The sequence below is a fragment of the Homo sapiens genome, chromosome 3, assembly GCF_000001405.40.
Source record: "Homo sapiens chromosome 3, GRCh38.p14 Primary Assembly".
NCBI lineage: Eukaryota > Metazoa > Chordata > Mammalia > Primates > Hominidae > Homo > Homo sapiens.
The window spans coordinates 20,777,470-20,791,132 of record NC_000003.12 but is presented as its reverse complement, the minus strand read 5'-3'; the positions used below and the strand labels follow the sequence as shown (position 1 = coordinate 20,791,132).

Here is a 13,663-nt window from a genome sequence, read left to right as displayed (position 1 = left end):
AGCAGAGAGGCCCCCCTTGCATCAGAATCTCTGCACAAGATGAATGGGGCAACTTAGGCTGCTGCACCAGGAAAGCCCGTGCTCTAAATGACTGGAGATCTACCTAAGTGTGGAGCAGAGAGGGTCCCCCTGCACCAGGATCTCTGCCAGGAAGGATGAGGTGTCTCAGCCTGCTGAATTAGGGTGCTCCTAATGCCTGGAAACCTGCCTGGGCATGGAGTGGAGAGTCCTCCTGCACAAAGACCTATGTCTGGGAAGGGTGGGGCAGCTCAGGCTGCTGGCCCAGGCAAGTAGGTGCTCCAAATGCCTGAATTTCTGCTTGTGGTGAAGCAGTGAGGGCCCTGCTACACCATGTTCTCAGGGAAGTAGTGTAGGGCACACAGCAATGGCATATGCAGATCAGTTCCAAGTCAACAAGCTCGCCCTGGCACTAAGTCTCAGCACCCAAGAGAAACTTCAGCTATAGCAGCTCTCCTCAAATCCCAGGCCTACAAGAGGGGAGAACACAATTCTAGCACCTACTACTGAGGTGCTTTTCACAGTTCTGGCTAACCCACTTCAGAGTAATTGCTCCAATTTCTGCCCTTAGATGAAAATGCCTGCACAGTCACACTGCTGGGTCACCAAATGGCTGACTTTGCATGCATCTGTATTAAAAATGGCATCCGGCTCTCAGTCTTGGATCTGGGAAAATGTCTGCAGATATTCCCAGTGTCTTTCCCACACAGCATCTCCAAGCCTCTCCTTAACTCCAGGAGGTGGGAAGCAAAGTGCTCTCTCTTGGCCTGGGTTGCTTGGATCCCCAGTGGGAAGGTGAGTCACAGAGAGAGAACCTCTGTCTCTCTCACACACTGGGGCTGCACTCACTTTTATTAGCTGGACGCTGTCACAGGAAATGTTTGCCAGCACTCTCTTCTCTGGACCTGGGATTGTCTTCCATTATTCCGGTGGATTCTCACTTTCCTTCTTGAATGAAAGCTTGCAGAGTTGATCTTTATGCACTGTCGTTCTATTTACAAGGGGCCGAGCCTCACTGAAACCCTCTAATTCACCATCTTGGAGAAAAAAAATTTAATGCAACTATTGTAAATCTAATTATTCCAAAAGAAGTTCTTCTAACAGAAAAGACTACAATTATTTTTACATATAGTGAAAGAGAGGTCACTTTTATGCTAACCAAGTGTCAGACTATATAGGGTTTCATAAACATACTGTATAACCAGTAGTTGCCTTATCTTGAAACCTTAATCTCTTAGTAGATCTTTAGACACTTGTGCAAATTCCAACAGATTTTAGAACAGGCAACTATTTCTTCAATGAATCCCATAAAAACACCATAGAGGAAGTTGTTTCTAAGGTGATAAGATCAGTGTTAAATTTTAGAAGGAGTCCCATAATGTTTGCAGCCTGATTTTTTGCTTTTTCAGTCACTGAACCATCAATCTTCCAATCAACGAGCTTTTAAGGTGGGCCTACAAGCTGTCACTTGATAATTAAGAGGTATGTTAAAATAACAAAAGGTTCTTTTTCAGAGACACATTAGATAATAGAAGTTTTAGTCTCTTCTAGCATACAATAACTGGTTTAATAATGGAAAGATTATTGTTGTGGATGTTTGTAGTACACAATGTGTGCGAACAAGAACAGAAGCAGCACATTTTTACCTTTAAGCACAGTCAAAAGTAGACCCTGCTAGAGAAAACCCATGCAGACTGTGGAGTACAGGACATTTGTTCTCATCCCATTTTCATTTTTCAGATGTGATGAATTCTGTTGAGGCCTTCCTGCTGTGAAGCTCATGAAGTCCCATGGTGCTGATTGCAGTGAGCCAAGATTGTGCCACTGCACTCCAGCCTGGCAACAGAGCGAGACTCCATCTCAAAATAAATAAATAAATAAAAATTTTAAAAAGAGTCTCATGGTGCTTCATTGGTACAGGACCTTCTTCCAAGGCCCTGAAAGGGTCGCTAGCAAAAGCAAAGTGTTTTGATTTTGTTATGTTAATGTAAATTTTAAAATTTATAAATTGTTATGATTATTAGATTATTCTAAATGTTTACTTTCATGTTGAATTTTGTATTTCTAATTCCCTATATATTAAGTAGATATGACAAGAAAGTAAATAGATCATAGCTATTTTAAAATAATATAAATATAAATCAAGGAAAATAAAAGAGTTCTCAACTGGAGGAAGTTTTGTCTCCCTGGGAGATATTTGGCCATGTTTGAAGACCTTTTCGGTTGTCACAATAAGGGGGCAAGGCCACTGGCACCTAGTGAGTACAAGCCAGGGATGCTTCTACCCGAAAATGCATAGTCAGCCCCTTCTAACTAGTATTATCCAGCCCAAAATGTAAACCATGTTGAGGTTGAGAGACCTCCACAATTTCAAAATTAAGAAGTGGTAAGCCTGGATTCAGATCCAGTGTGTATAATTACAAAGCTTATGCTTTCTACTACATTACACTGACTGGCTATAATAAATATCAGTAGAACAAGTTAGTTTCAATTGTGTGGTGTACCAATGGTCATTGCATTTGCCTTCCTCGTATTCTGTAATAAAAGCCAATGGATGTGCATGTTGCCATGTTGGATATGCTCTGTGGACAAAGGGGAGGTGGGCAAGCAAGATAGTCCTAGTCCTTTTCCAGTGTTATCTTCTCAGTTAATGGCATAATCACACACTCGGTTATACAAGGCATACCCCAAGAAACATCCTTCAGTTTGCTTTTTTCCTCCATTCACCATATGTATTAACCTATTTTCACGCTGCTGATAAAGACATACCTGAGACTGGGAAGAAAAAGAGGTTAAATTGGTCTTACAGTTCCACATGGCTGGGGAGGCCTCAGAATCATAGTAAGAGGTGAAAGGCACTTCTTACATGGCAACAGCAAGAGAAAATGAGGAAGAAGCAAAACCAGAAACCCCTGATAAACTCATCAGGTATCTTGAGACTTATTCACTATCACCAGAATAGCACAGAAAAGACCAGCCCCCGTGATTCAATTACCTCCCCTTGGGTTGCTCCCACAACACTTGGGAATTTTGGGAGACACAATTTAAGTTGAGATTTGGGTGGGGACACAGCCAAACCATATCAGCATATTTTATCTCCATTATTTTATCTCTCTTGGAACATACTCCAGGTTATCTTCTACCACTGCTTTAGCATTTACATTGGTGTACTCCTTTTCTACATTGTACTCAGATGATCTTTTTAAAATTTGTATCTGAACACGTTACCTTTCTATGTCCTTATCCCTACATAAACTTCCCATCCTGTCACAATCCTGGCTTAAATCACACAATAACCTATCATTGGTTTCAAGGTAATTGCCCCAATCCCCCAATATGGCCTGTAAAGTCCTCTTAGTCTTTCCAGAATCACTTATCATCTTGCTGTCCCCTGCTTGGTGCTTCAGCCACTGGTGCTTTTAGTTCTTTGACATAGATATGTTACTTCCTACTGCAAGGCCTTGTGCTATGCTTAAAACACCCTACTTCTCATTCCTGCTATTTTTCATCTAAAGCACATCTGATTTTGAGTAGATCATATCCCTCTGTTCTAGGTTTTCATAGCACTATGAAGATCTCTTTTGTGAGTTTATCACAGCTATAGTTTTAAACTCATATGTGTGATTCAAAAAAAAATCACCTGCATTGTAAGCTACATGAGGGCTGGTACTGTGTTTTGCTTTGCTTGAAAAGCAAAGTATACTGACAATCTATCCCCAGCATCACTCGGAGAACTTGGCATTTAACTGGGTTCAATAAATATTTGTGGAGTGAATTATCGCAAGAATAAATAAATGGATGTTCGGATGAAAAAATGCATGATATTAAAGGGCTGAATAGACTCAGGGTTAATATAAGCCTTAATGCTTAGTGTAACATAAGCTCTGGATAAGATCCAATAGCAGCTAAATGAGAGCAAACAAAGTCCTAGACAACCAAAGACGGTTAGGCCAAGATAGATAAGAACTAGAACTATTGAACATGCTGAGCTTTTTCTGTTGAATAAAGCCTTTTAATCTGGACTTTTCCCTGAACCAGTCAATCATTTTGCCACAGAATCTTCATGAGTGAATATAAAAGGACCTGACTTCAATAAAGATTATGCCACTAATCTAATTCCACCTAGAAAAAAATACAGTATCCTCCAAAAGACTCACAAGTCTAATTCCAAGGTAACTTCTCATGGTCCAGCAGAGGAAATCAGACTCCTGGCATCAGAGCCTGCAACATGAGCGACTCAGGCATGCTCAATATAGTCATGTATCTCTTAATGACGGAGACACGTTCTAAGAAATGCATGGTTAGGCAATTTTGTTCTTGCATGAGTATCCTAGAATGCACTCACACAAAACTAGATGGTTTAGCCTATTACACAGCTAGGCTATATGATATAGCCTATTGCTCCTTGGCTATAAGTTTGCACAGCATGTTCATGTTACTGTATTGAATACTGTATGCAGTTGTAACACAGTAATAAATATTTGTGTATCTAAATGTAGAAAAGATACAGTAAAATACGGTATGAAAGATTAAAAACAGGATACCTATATAGGGCATTTACCATGAATGGAGCCTGCAGGACTGAAAGTAGCTCTGGGTGTTGGCGAGTGAGTGGTGAATGAATGTGAAGACCTAGGACATTATTGTACTCTTCTGCAGACATTAGAAACACTGTATACTTAAGCAACACTAAATTTATTAAAAATAATTTTCTTTCTTAAATAAATTAATCTTAGTTTATTGTAACACTTTTACTTTTTAAACTTTTAACATTTTTAAACTTTTTGATTATTTGTAATCATGGCTTAAAACAAAAACAATTGTATAGCTAAAGAAAAATATTTTCTCTCTTTATATCCTTATTCTATACATTTTCTTCTTTTTTTATTTTTATTTTTATTTTTTACTTTTTAAGCATTTTTGTTAAAAACTAAGGCATAAACACACACATTAGCCTAGACCTAGACGGGATCAGAATTTTCAATATCAGTGTCTTTCACCTCAACATCCTCTGTCACTGGAAGGTCTTCATGCGCTATAATATATGTGAAGCTGTCGTTTCCAATGATAACAGTGACTTCTTCTAGAATTTTTCCTGCAGTACCTCCCTGAGGCTGTTTTACAGTTAACCTTCTTTTGATCAGCAGAAGTACACTCTAAAATAATGATAAAAAGTATAGTACAGTAAACACATAAACCAGGGACATAGTCATTTATTATCATTATCAAGTATTATGTAATGTACATAATTGTATATGCTATGCTTTTACATGCCAGGCAACACAGGTTTGTTTACACAAGGATCACCACAAACATGTGAGTAATGCATTGCACTCATTATCATACCTATGAGGTCACTAGGCAATAGAAATTTTTCGGCTCCATTTTTTGGTAATTTTTATTTTAGGTTCAGGGGTCCACGTGAAGGTTTGTTACACAGATAAACACGTATCATGGGGATTTGTTGTACATATTATTACATCACCCAGGTATTAAGCCCAGTACCCAATAGTTATCTTTTCTGCTCCTCTCCCTCCTCTCACCCTCCTTGCTCATGTACACCCCAGTGTCTGCTGTTTCCTTCTTTTTAATCATCAAGTTCTTATCCTTCAGTGCCCGCTTATAAGTGAAAACATGCAGTATTTGGTTTCTGTTCCTGTATTAGTTTGCTAAGGATAATAACCTCCAACTCCATACTTGTTCCCACAAAAGACATTATCTCCTTCATTTTTATGGCTGCATAGTATTCCACGGTGTATAGGTACCAAATTTCTTTAACCAATCTGTTATTAATGGGCATTTAAATTGATTCCATGTCTTTGCTATTGTGAGTAATTCTGCAATAAACATATGCATGCGTGTATCTTTATAATAGAATGATTTATATTTCCTTGGGTATATACCCAGTAATGGGATTGCTGAGTCTAATGGTATTTCTGCCCCTAGGTTTTTAAGGAACCACTGTCTTGTCTTCCAGAACAGTTGAACTAATTTACACTCCTACCAACAGTTTAAAAGTATTTCTTTTTCTCCACAACCTCACCAGCATCTGTTGTTTTTTGACTTTCTAATAATAGTCATTCTGAATGGTCTGAGATGGTCTCGTGGTGGTTTTGATTTGCACTTCTCTAATGAATGGTGATGTTAAGCTTTTTTTCATATCCTTGTTGGCTGCATGTATGTCTTCTTTTGAGAAGTGTCTGTTCAGTCCCTCATCCACTTTTTAATGGGGTTGTTTTTCTCTTGTAAATTTAAGTTTCTTATAGATGATGGATATTAGACCTTTGTCAGATGCATGGTTTGCAAATATTTTCCCCCATTCTATAGGTTGTCTGTTTACTCTGTTGAAAGTTTCCTTTGCTATGCTGAAGCTCTTTAATTACATCCCATCTGTCCGTTTTTGCTTTTGTTATGATTGATTTGGTGTCTTTGTCATGAAAGACACCCATTCCTAGTGGTATTGCCTAGGTGGTCTTCCAGGGTTTTTATACTTTTGGGTTTTACAGTCAAGTCTTTAATCCATCTTGGGTTGATTTTTGTCTATGGTGTAAGGAAGGTGTCCAGCTTCAATCTTCTGCATATGGCTAGCTAGTTATCCCAACACCATTTATTGAATCGGGAGTCTTTTCCCCATTGCTGGTTTTTGTCAGCTTTGTAAGATCAGATGGTTGCAGATGTGTGGCTGACCTTATTTCTGGGCTCTCTATTCTGTTCTATTGGTCTATGTGCCTGTTTTTGTACCAGTACCATGCTGTTTTGGTCACTGCAGCCTTGTAGTATATTTTGAAGTTGAGTAACATGATTCTTCCAACTTTGTCCTTTTTGTCTTGGCTATTTGGACTCTTTTTCATTCCATATAAATTTTAAAATAATTTTTTCTAGTTCTGTGAAGAATGTTGTTGGTAGTTTGATAGGAATAATATTGAATCTGTAAATTGCTTTAAGCATTATAGCCATTTTAATCATGTTGATTCTTCCTATCCATAATCCATAAGCATGGGATGTTTTTCCACCTGTTTGTGGCTTCTCTGATGTCTTTCAACAGTGTTTTGTAATCTCATTATAGAGATCTTTCACTTCCCTGGTTAGCTGTATTCCTAGAGTTTTACTTATTTATTTTTTCCTTTTTTTGTGGCAATTGCAAATGAAATTGATTTGGCTCTCAGTTTCATTGTGGTTCATTTATAAGAGTGCTAGTAAATTTTGTACATTGATTTTGTATCCTGAAACTTTGCTGAAATTGTTTATCAGCTGAAGGAGCTTTTGGGCCAAGTCTATGGGGTTTTCTAGATATAGAATCATGTCCTCTGCAGAGACAGTTTGACTTTCTCTCTTCCTACTTGGATGTCATTTCTTTCTTTCTCTTGCCTGATTGCTCTGGCTAAGATTTCCAATACTATGTTGAATAGAAGTGGTGAGAGAGGGCATCCTTGTCTTGTGCCAGTTTTCAAAGAGAATGCTTCTAATTTTTGCCCAGTCAGTATAATGTTGGCTGTGGATTTGTCATAGATGGCTGTTATTATTTTTAATATGAAAGGATGTTGAATTTTATCAAAAGCCTCTTCTGTATCTCTTGAGATAATCATGTGGTTTTGTCTTTAGTTCTGTTTATGTGATGAATTACACTTATTGATTTTAGTATATTAAACTAACCTTGCATCCTAGAGATAGATGAAGGCTACTTGATAATGATGGATTAGTTTTTGGATGTGCTGCTGCATTTGATTTGTGTTTTGTTGAAGATTTTTGCATCAATAATCATCAAGGGTGTTGGCCTTAAGTTATGTTTTTTGTTTGTGTCTCTACCAGGTTTTGGTATCAAGAGGATGCTGGTCTCATGGAATGAGTTGGGGAGAAGTCCCTCCTCCTCATGTTTTTGGAGTAGTTTCTGCAGGAATGGCACCAGCTCTTCTTTGTACATCTGGTAGAATTTGGCTGTGAATCCCTCATGTCCTGGGCTTTCTTGGCTGGTAGGCTATTTATTACTGATTCAATTTTGGAACTCATCATTGGTCTGTTCAAGGAATCAACTTCTTCCTGGATCAGTCTTGGGAAGGTGTATGTGTCCAGGAATTTATCCATCTCTTCTAGGTTTTCTAGTTTGTGTGTGTAGAGGTGTTCACAGTAGTTTCTTATGGTTGTTTTGATTTCTGTGGGGTCAGTAGTAACATTGTCTTTGTCATTTCTAATTGTATTTATTTGGATCCTTTCTATTTTCTTCTTAATTAGTCTAGCTGGTGGTCTATTTTATTTTTTTCAAAAAGTCAACTTCTGGATTTGTTGATCTTTTAAATGGTTTCTTGTGTCTCAATTTCCTTACGTTCAGCTCTGATTTTTGTTATTTCTTGTCTTCTGCTATCTTTGGGGTTGATTTGTTCTTGCTTCTCTAATTCTTTCAGTTGTGAAGTTAGGATGTTAATTTGAGGTCTTTCTGATTTTTTGATGTGGGCATTTAGTTCTATGAATCTTCCTCTTAATACTGTCTTAGCTGTGTCCCAGAAATTCTTGTATGGTGTACATTTGTTCTGATTATTTTCAAAGAACTTCTTGATTTCTGCCTTAATTTCATTATTTTCTGAAAAGTCATTCAGCAGCATGTTGTTTAATTTCCATGTAATTTTATGGTTTTGAGCAATTTTCATTGTGTTGACTTCTATTTTTATTGAATTGTGGTCCAAGAATGTGGTTGTGGTGATGGGAATAATGTATACTCTGTTGTTTTGGGGTGGAGGCTTCTGTAAATGTCTGTCAGATCCATTTGGTCCAATGCTGAGTTTAGGTCCTGAATACCTCTGTTAATTTTCTGCCTTGATGACCTGTTTAATAATTTCAGTGGAGTGTTGAAGTCTCACACTATTATTGTGTGGGAGTCTGTGTCTCTTTGTAGGTCTCTAAGAACTTTCTATTTGAATCTGAGTGCTCCTGTGTTGGGTGCATATGTATTTAGGATAGTTAGGTCTTCTTATTGAATTGAACCCTTTACCATGATGTAATGCGCTTCCTGTCTTTTTTATCTTTGTTGTTTTGAAATCTGTTTTGTCTGAAATTATGATTGCAACTCCTGCTTATTTCTGTTTTCCGTTTGCTCGGAAGATTTTTCTCCAACACTTCATTTTGAGCCTATGACTGTCATTACATTTAAGATAAGTCTCCTAAAGACAGCATACCATTGAGTTTTGCTTCTTTATCCAGGATGCCACTCTGTGTCTTTTAAGTGGGGCCTCTTTAGCCTGTTTACATTCAAAGTTAGTTTTGATATGTGTGGATTCTATCTTGTCATTGCACTGTTCACTGGTTTTTATGTTGGCTTGTTTGTGTGGTTGCTTTACAGTGACACTGGTCTGTGTGTTTAAGTGTGTTTATGTATTAGCTGGTAGTGGTCTTTCCTTTTATATTTAGTGCTTCTTTCAAGATCTCTGGTAAGGCAGATCTGGTGGTAATGAAGTCTCTCGGCATTTGCTTATCTCAAAAGACTCTTATTTCTCCTCTTCGTAGGAAGCTTAATTTGACTGGATATAAACTTCTTGATTGAATTTTTTTTTTTTTCTTGAAGAATGTTGAATGTAGGCTCCCAATCTCTTCTGGCCTGTAGGGTTTCAGCTGAAAGGTCTGCTGTTAGGCTGATGGGGGTTCCCTTTTTAGGTGACCTGCCCTTTCTCTCTAACTGCCTTTAACATTTTTTCTTTCATTTTCAACCTTGGAAAATCTGAAAATTATGTGTCTTGGGGATGATCTTCTTGTATAGAACCTTGGAGGAGTTCTCTTTATGTCCTGAATTTGACTGTTGATCCCTCTAGCAAAGCTGGGGACGTTTTCATGGATGATATCCTGAAACATATTTTCCAAATTGTTTGTTTTCTCCCCCTCCCTTTCAGGGATATCAATGATTCATAGATTTGGCCTCTTTACATAATTCCATACTTCTTGGAGGTTTTGTTTATTCATTTTTATTCTTTCTTTATTTTTGTCTGACTTTCTTATTTCAGAGAACCAGTCTTCAAGTTCTGAGATTCTTCCTTAAGCTTGGTTTACTCTGTTGTTAATACTTGTGATTGCATGTGAAATTCTTGTATTGTGTTATTCGGCTCTGTCAGACCCACTAGCTTCTTTTTTATACTAGCTATTTTGTCCTTCAGCTCCTGTATGACTTTATTGTGACTCTTATTTTACTTGGATTGGTTTTCCCATTTTCCTGAATCTTTATGATCTTTGCTCCTATCTATAGAAATATTCCAAATTCTATTTTTGTCATTACAGCCAGTTAGTCCTGGTTAAGAACTCTTCTTGAAGAACTAGTGCAGTCATTTGGAGAACAGATGACACTGTGGCCATTTGAGTTACTGGAGTTCTTGCATTTTTCTTCCTCATCTCTGTGTGTGGATGTTCTTTTAACTTCAGTGTAGACCGAGAGCAGTCAATATACTTCTTTTTTGGATGTTTTCACCAGGCTGAGGCTTTCTGCAGGGTCTTTATTTCAAGCTGACTTCTTGCATCTGATTTCAGAGTGGGGTATGTTAGTGAGGTATTTTTGGTGTTGAAGCTTTGGGGTGTGATCCAGCAGCTGGCACTTAGAATTTTTGGTCAGTTGGTAGATTCTTGCTCAGTTGTGTGGATCCCCTAGGTTTCCTCATAGTTGGAGCCGTGTTTCCTCTCAGTTCTCTGAAAGTGTGGGTTCCTCTCCTCCTTGAGTCCCGGCTGTAGTTCACAACTTTACACTTCTGGGCTGCCTACTATGGCTCTGGGGCAATCTAAGTGTTTATGTTTCTTGTCCAGCTTAGAGGCAGCAGAAGAGATCTTAGTAGTGGTTGTGGCCGAGGGTCATTTGCTTGATTCCTGGGGACTCCACCCAGACAGATGCAGATCAGCAATCACTTGGTGCAGTCAGCCCAAGATGGAGGGTTTGTGCTGTGGTCCCAAGCCAGATGTTCCCTGTCTGATGACAAGCTGTGAGGGGTGTATGGGACCCACGGGAAATGGACTGGCCTCCTCTCCTTGGGTCAACTTCTACTTGTTGAAGGTGTGGATAAGGCACTTAGGGTCTTTGCTTCTTCGTTAGTCTGAGGGTGGCAAGCACAGTTCCACTGCAGAGGCAGTGGCAGAGAGGCTTTCAAGTTCCCCCTGGAGGCTCTGTCCAGAAAGTTGCTGAGTTGGTGCTGGCTCAATAGCTCTGGCAGTGGGTGGCTGGAGGCCCAGGCCTGGAATACCTGCCCAAAGAGGAGAGATGGGAATGGGCACTCAGGTAACATTCTGGCCACTTTTCTGCAGGGCTGCTGCAGTATCCTTGAGGCTGCTCCAGTTCCTAGTCATCTCAGATTTTCCAGAATCTGGACGTATCACCAGTGAAGGCTGTGAAACAGCAAAGATGGCAGCCTGTCCCTCCTGCTGGGAGCTTTGTCCCAGGAAGGTATAAACCTGCTGCTGGCCCAAAGGCATCTGTCGGGGTGGCTGGTGACCCCTTTCGCGAGTTCTTGCCCAGTGAGTAGGAATGAGATCAGACCCCTGCTTAAAGCAACTGTCTGGTAGAAGAGCTGTGCTGTGCTTGGGAATCCATTCCACCCTAGATTGGTTCTAACTTTCTAAAGCCTGAAGGCTAGAATGGCTAAAGTGCCCAAACAGCAAAAATAGTGGCCCGCCCCCCTCCCTGGGAGCTCCTTCTTAGGAGGGTGCAATACCACTACTCATAGCTGGCTGGAATTCCCACCCAGTTGTTATCTTGTGAGGTGCCATGGAAGTGGGGTCTGTGAGCTGTTGCTACTCAACCACCTGGTTTTAGCCTCATTCCTAGGGGTGTGTACAGGAGTCTAACCTCCTACTTTTCAGGAGCTGCAGCTACTTTTCCTGGAAAGCCGGAATATCTAAGGCTGTAGGGTCTCTACACATGCCTGAGCAGCCGCTCTGCTGAGACTCCACATAACTGTGTCTGTCAGACTGAAAACTTGGCTCTGGTGGAGTGATTTCACAAGGAGATCTCCTGCCCTGAGGGTTGCAAAAATCGGTTGGAGAAGCATGGTTTCCTAGGATCACTCATTCATTCACTACTTCCCCGGGCAAGGGACGATCCCCTGGCTGCATATTGTTCCTAGGTAGGCCATTATCCTCTCTTGTTTTCCTTCATTCTCTATGGACCAGGTTGTTTCCTTGATTAATCCCAATGCAAGTACCTCAATGTTTCAGTTGAAGGTGTTGTATTCACTTGACCTTTCTGTTCCTCTCCATGAGAGGCACACACACTAGCTGCTTCTAGTCGGCCATCTTAGCCACTCCATAGCTCCATTTTAATCTTATGGGAACTTCGTTATGTATGTAGTCTGTCATTGACTGAAACATCGATGTGCAGTACATGACTATATTGTAAGTTGTGAGCCTTGGACTCAAGCCACAGGGAGCCTGACAGTCTCTTTATTGTAAGAAAACAAAAAAAAATCAAGAAAAGCAACATAGCCATAAAGTTCTAATGATGCTTCACATGCTTTTACGGAATCTAAGTTCAAATGCAGGAACTGGCTCTCTCTAAATGGTATGTAGAATGCAATGCTACAGTCTAAATTTTAGATATCAAGACAATGTTTACTTGAATTTAAGACTTTTATATGTCTCTTTCTTATTCTAGTGGTTCATTCTCCACCTTTCAATGACCTTTCTCTAAAACTGCAAAATATAATCTCTTAAAAATGTTGCATTTAGAATAAAAAATAAGACTTTTATCTAGATGAATATGGTAATATAAAAAAGAGTATAATGTTTTAGCTTTAGAATTTGTCTTAATAACTCAATAATGTAAAATTCAACTTTTACTCTTTTATTTTTGTGGTGACTTTTAAATCCATTTATCATCATGTTGCCAATGATCAGCTATAAAACAACAAAAATGGGTTGTTTTTTCCCCAACTCATTCCAAAATGAATAATGAAAGGATTTGCCAGAACCAAAAGATGGGTGGTGCCTTGATCCTTCTTGCTTTCAATGTATCTTTATACAAATGAGACAGGTTGCTCAGCCCTTCTGAAGCTGTAAACCAGCCTTAAATGTGTAAGTGACATGACTCTAGACAAGCACAGATACCCTAAGAAAATGAAATGCTGAAATTAGAAATGTTCATTGCTTTGCATTGCAAACAGGCTCACTGTGCATTTTTCAAACAAAATAACATAAAGTGATGACCAACTTGACCTGCTTGGCGCTTTCTTTTAGGGCAAACAAAAGGCAAATTGACTTATTCTTCTAAAGTAATAACTGCAATGACAACATAATTGGTATCCAAGTGGCATATTTTACTTGAACTGTTGAAAGGCTCCACATTAAAGATCAAACCACTATGAAAAATTCCAACTTTAAAACTCAATTTTATCTAAGATGGCTAAGTATGAAACATTTCTGAAGTGCTGAGATATCCCAATACACTTGATACTTTCTCCAACTCTTCTTGAATAAACAAGAATCAGTTTATAAAAATTACAATTAGCCAGAAAGTGAAGCAAACAGGTAGATGTCACAGATCACTGACTTTTGTCTTCAACTACTATTTGAGGGGTCTGTGATGTGCATAGTGCTATAAAATACATAAAACAAATGAGACAAGATCTGTTCCCTTAATAATGAGTGTTGTTTGTGTGCCAGACATTGTGCTAACTGCCATATAAACATT

The 13,663-nt window shown here is 39.1% G+C and overlaps 1 annotated feature.

Moving 5' to 3' along the window:
* Positions 123-624: an enhancer, noted in NCBI's record as "H3K27ac hESC enhancer chr3:20832001-20832502 (GRCh37/hg19 assembly coordinates)". NCBI's record gives its function as "activates a minimal SCP1, AML or CMV promoter by ChIP-STARR-seq in naive H9 embryonic stem cells {active_cell/tissue: H9 hESC(naive)}" and the evidence as "EXISTENCE:reporter gene assay evidence [ECO:0000049][PMID:30033119]".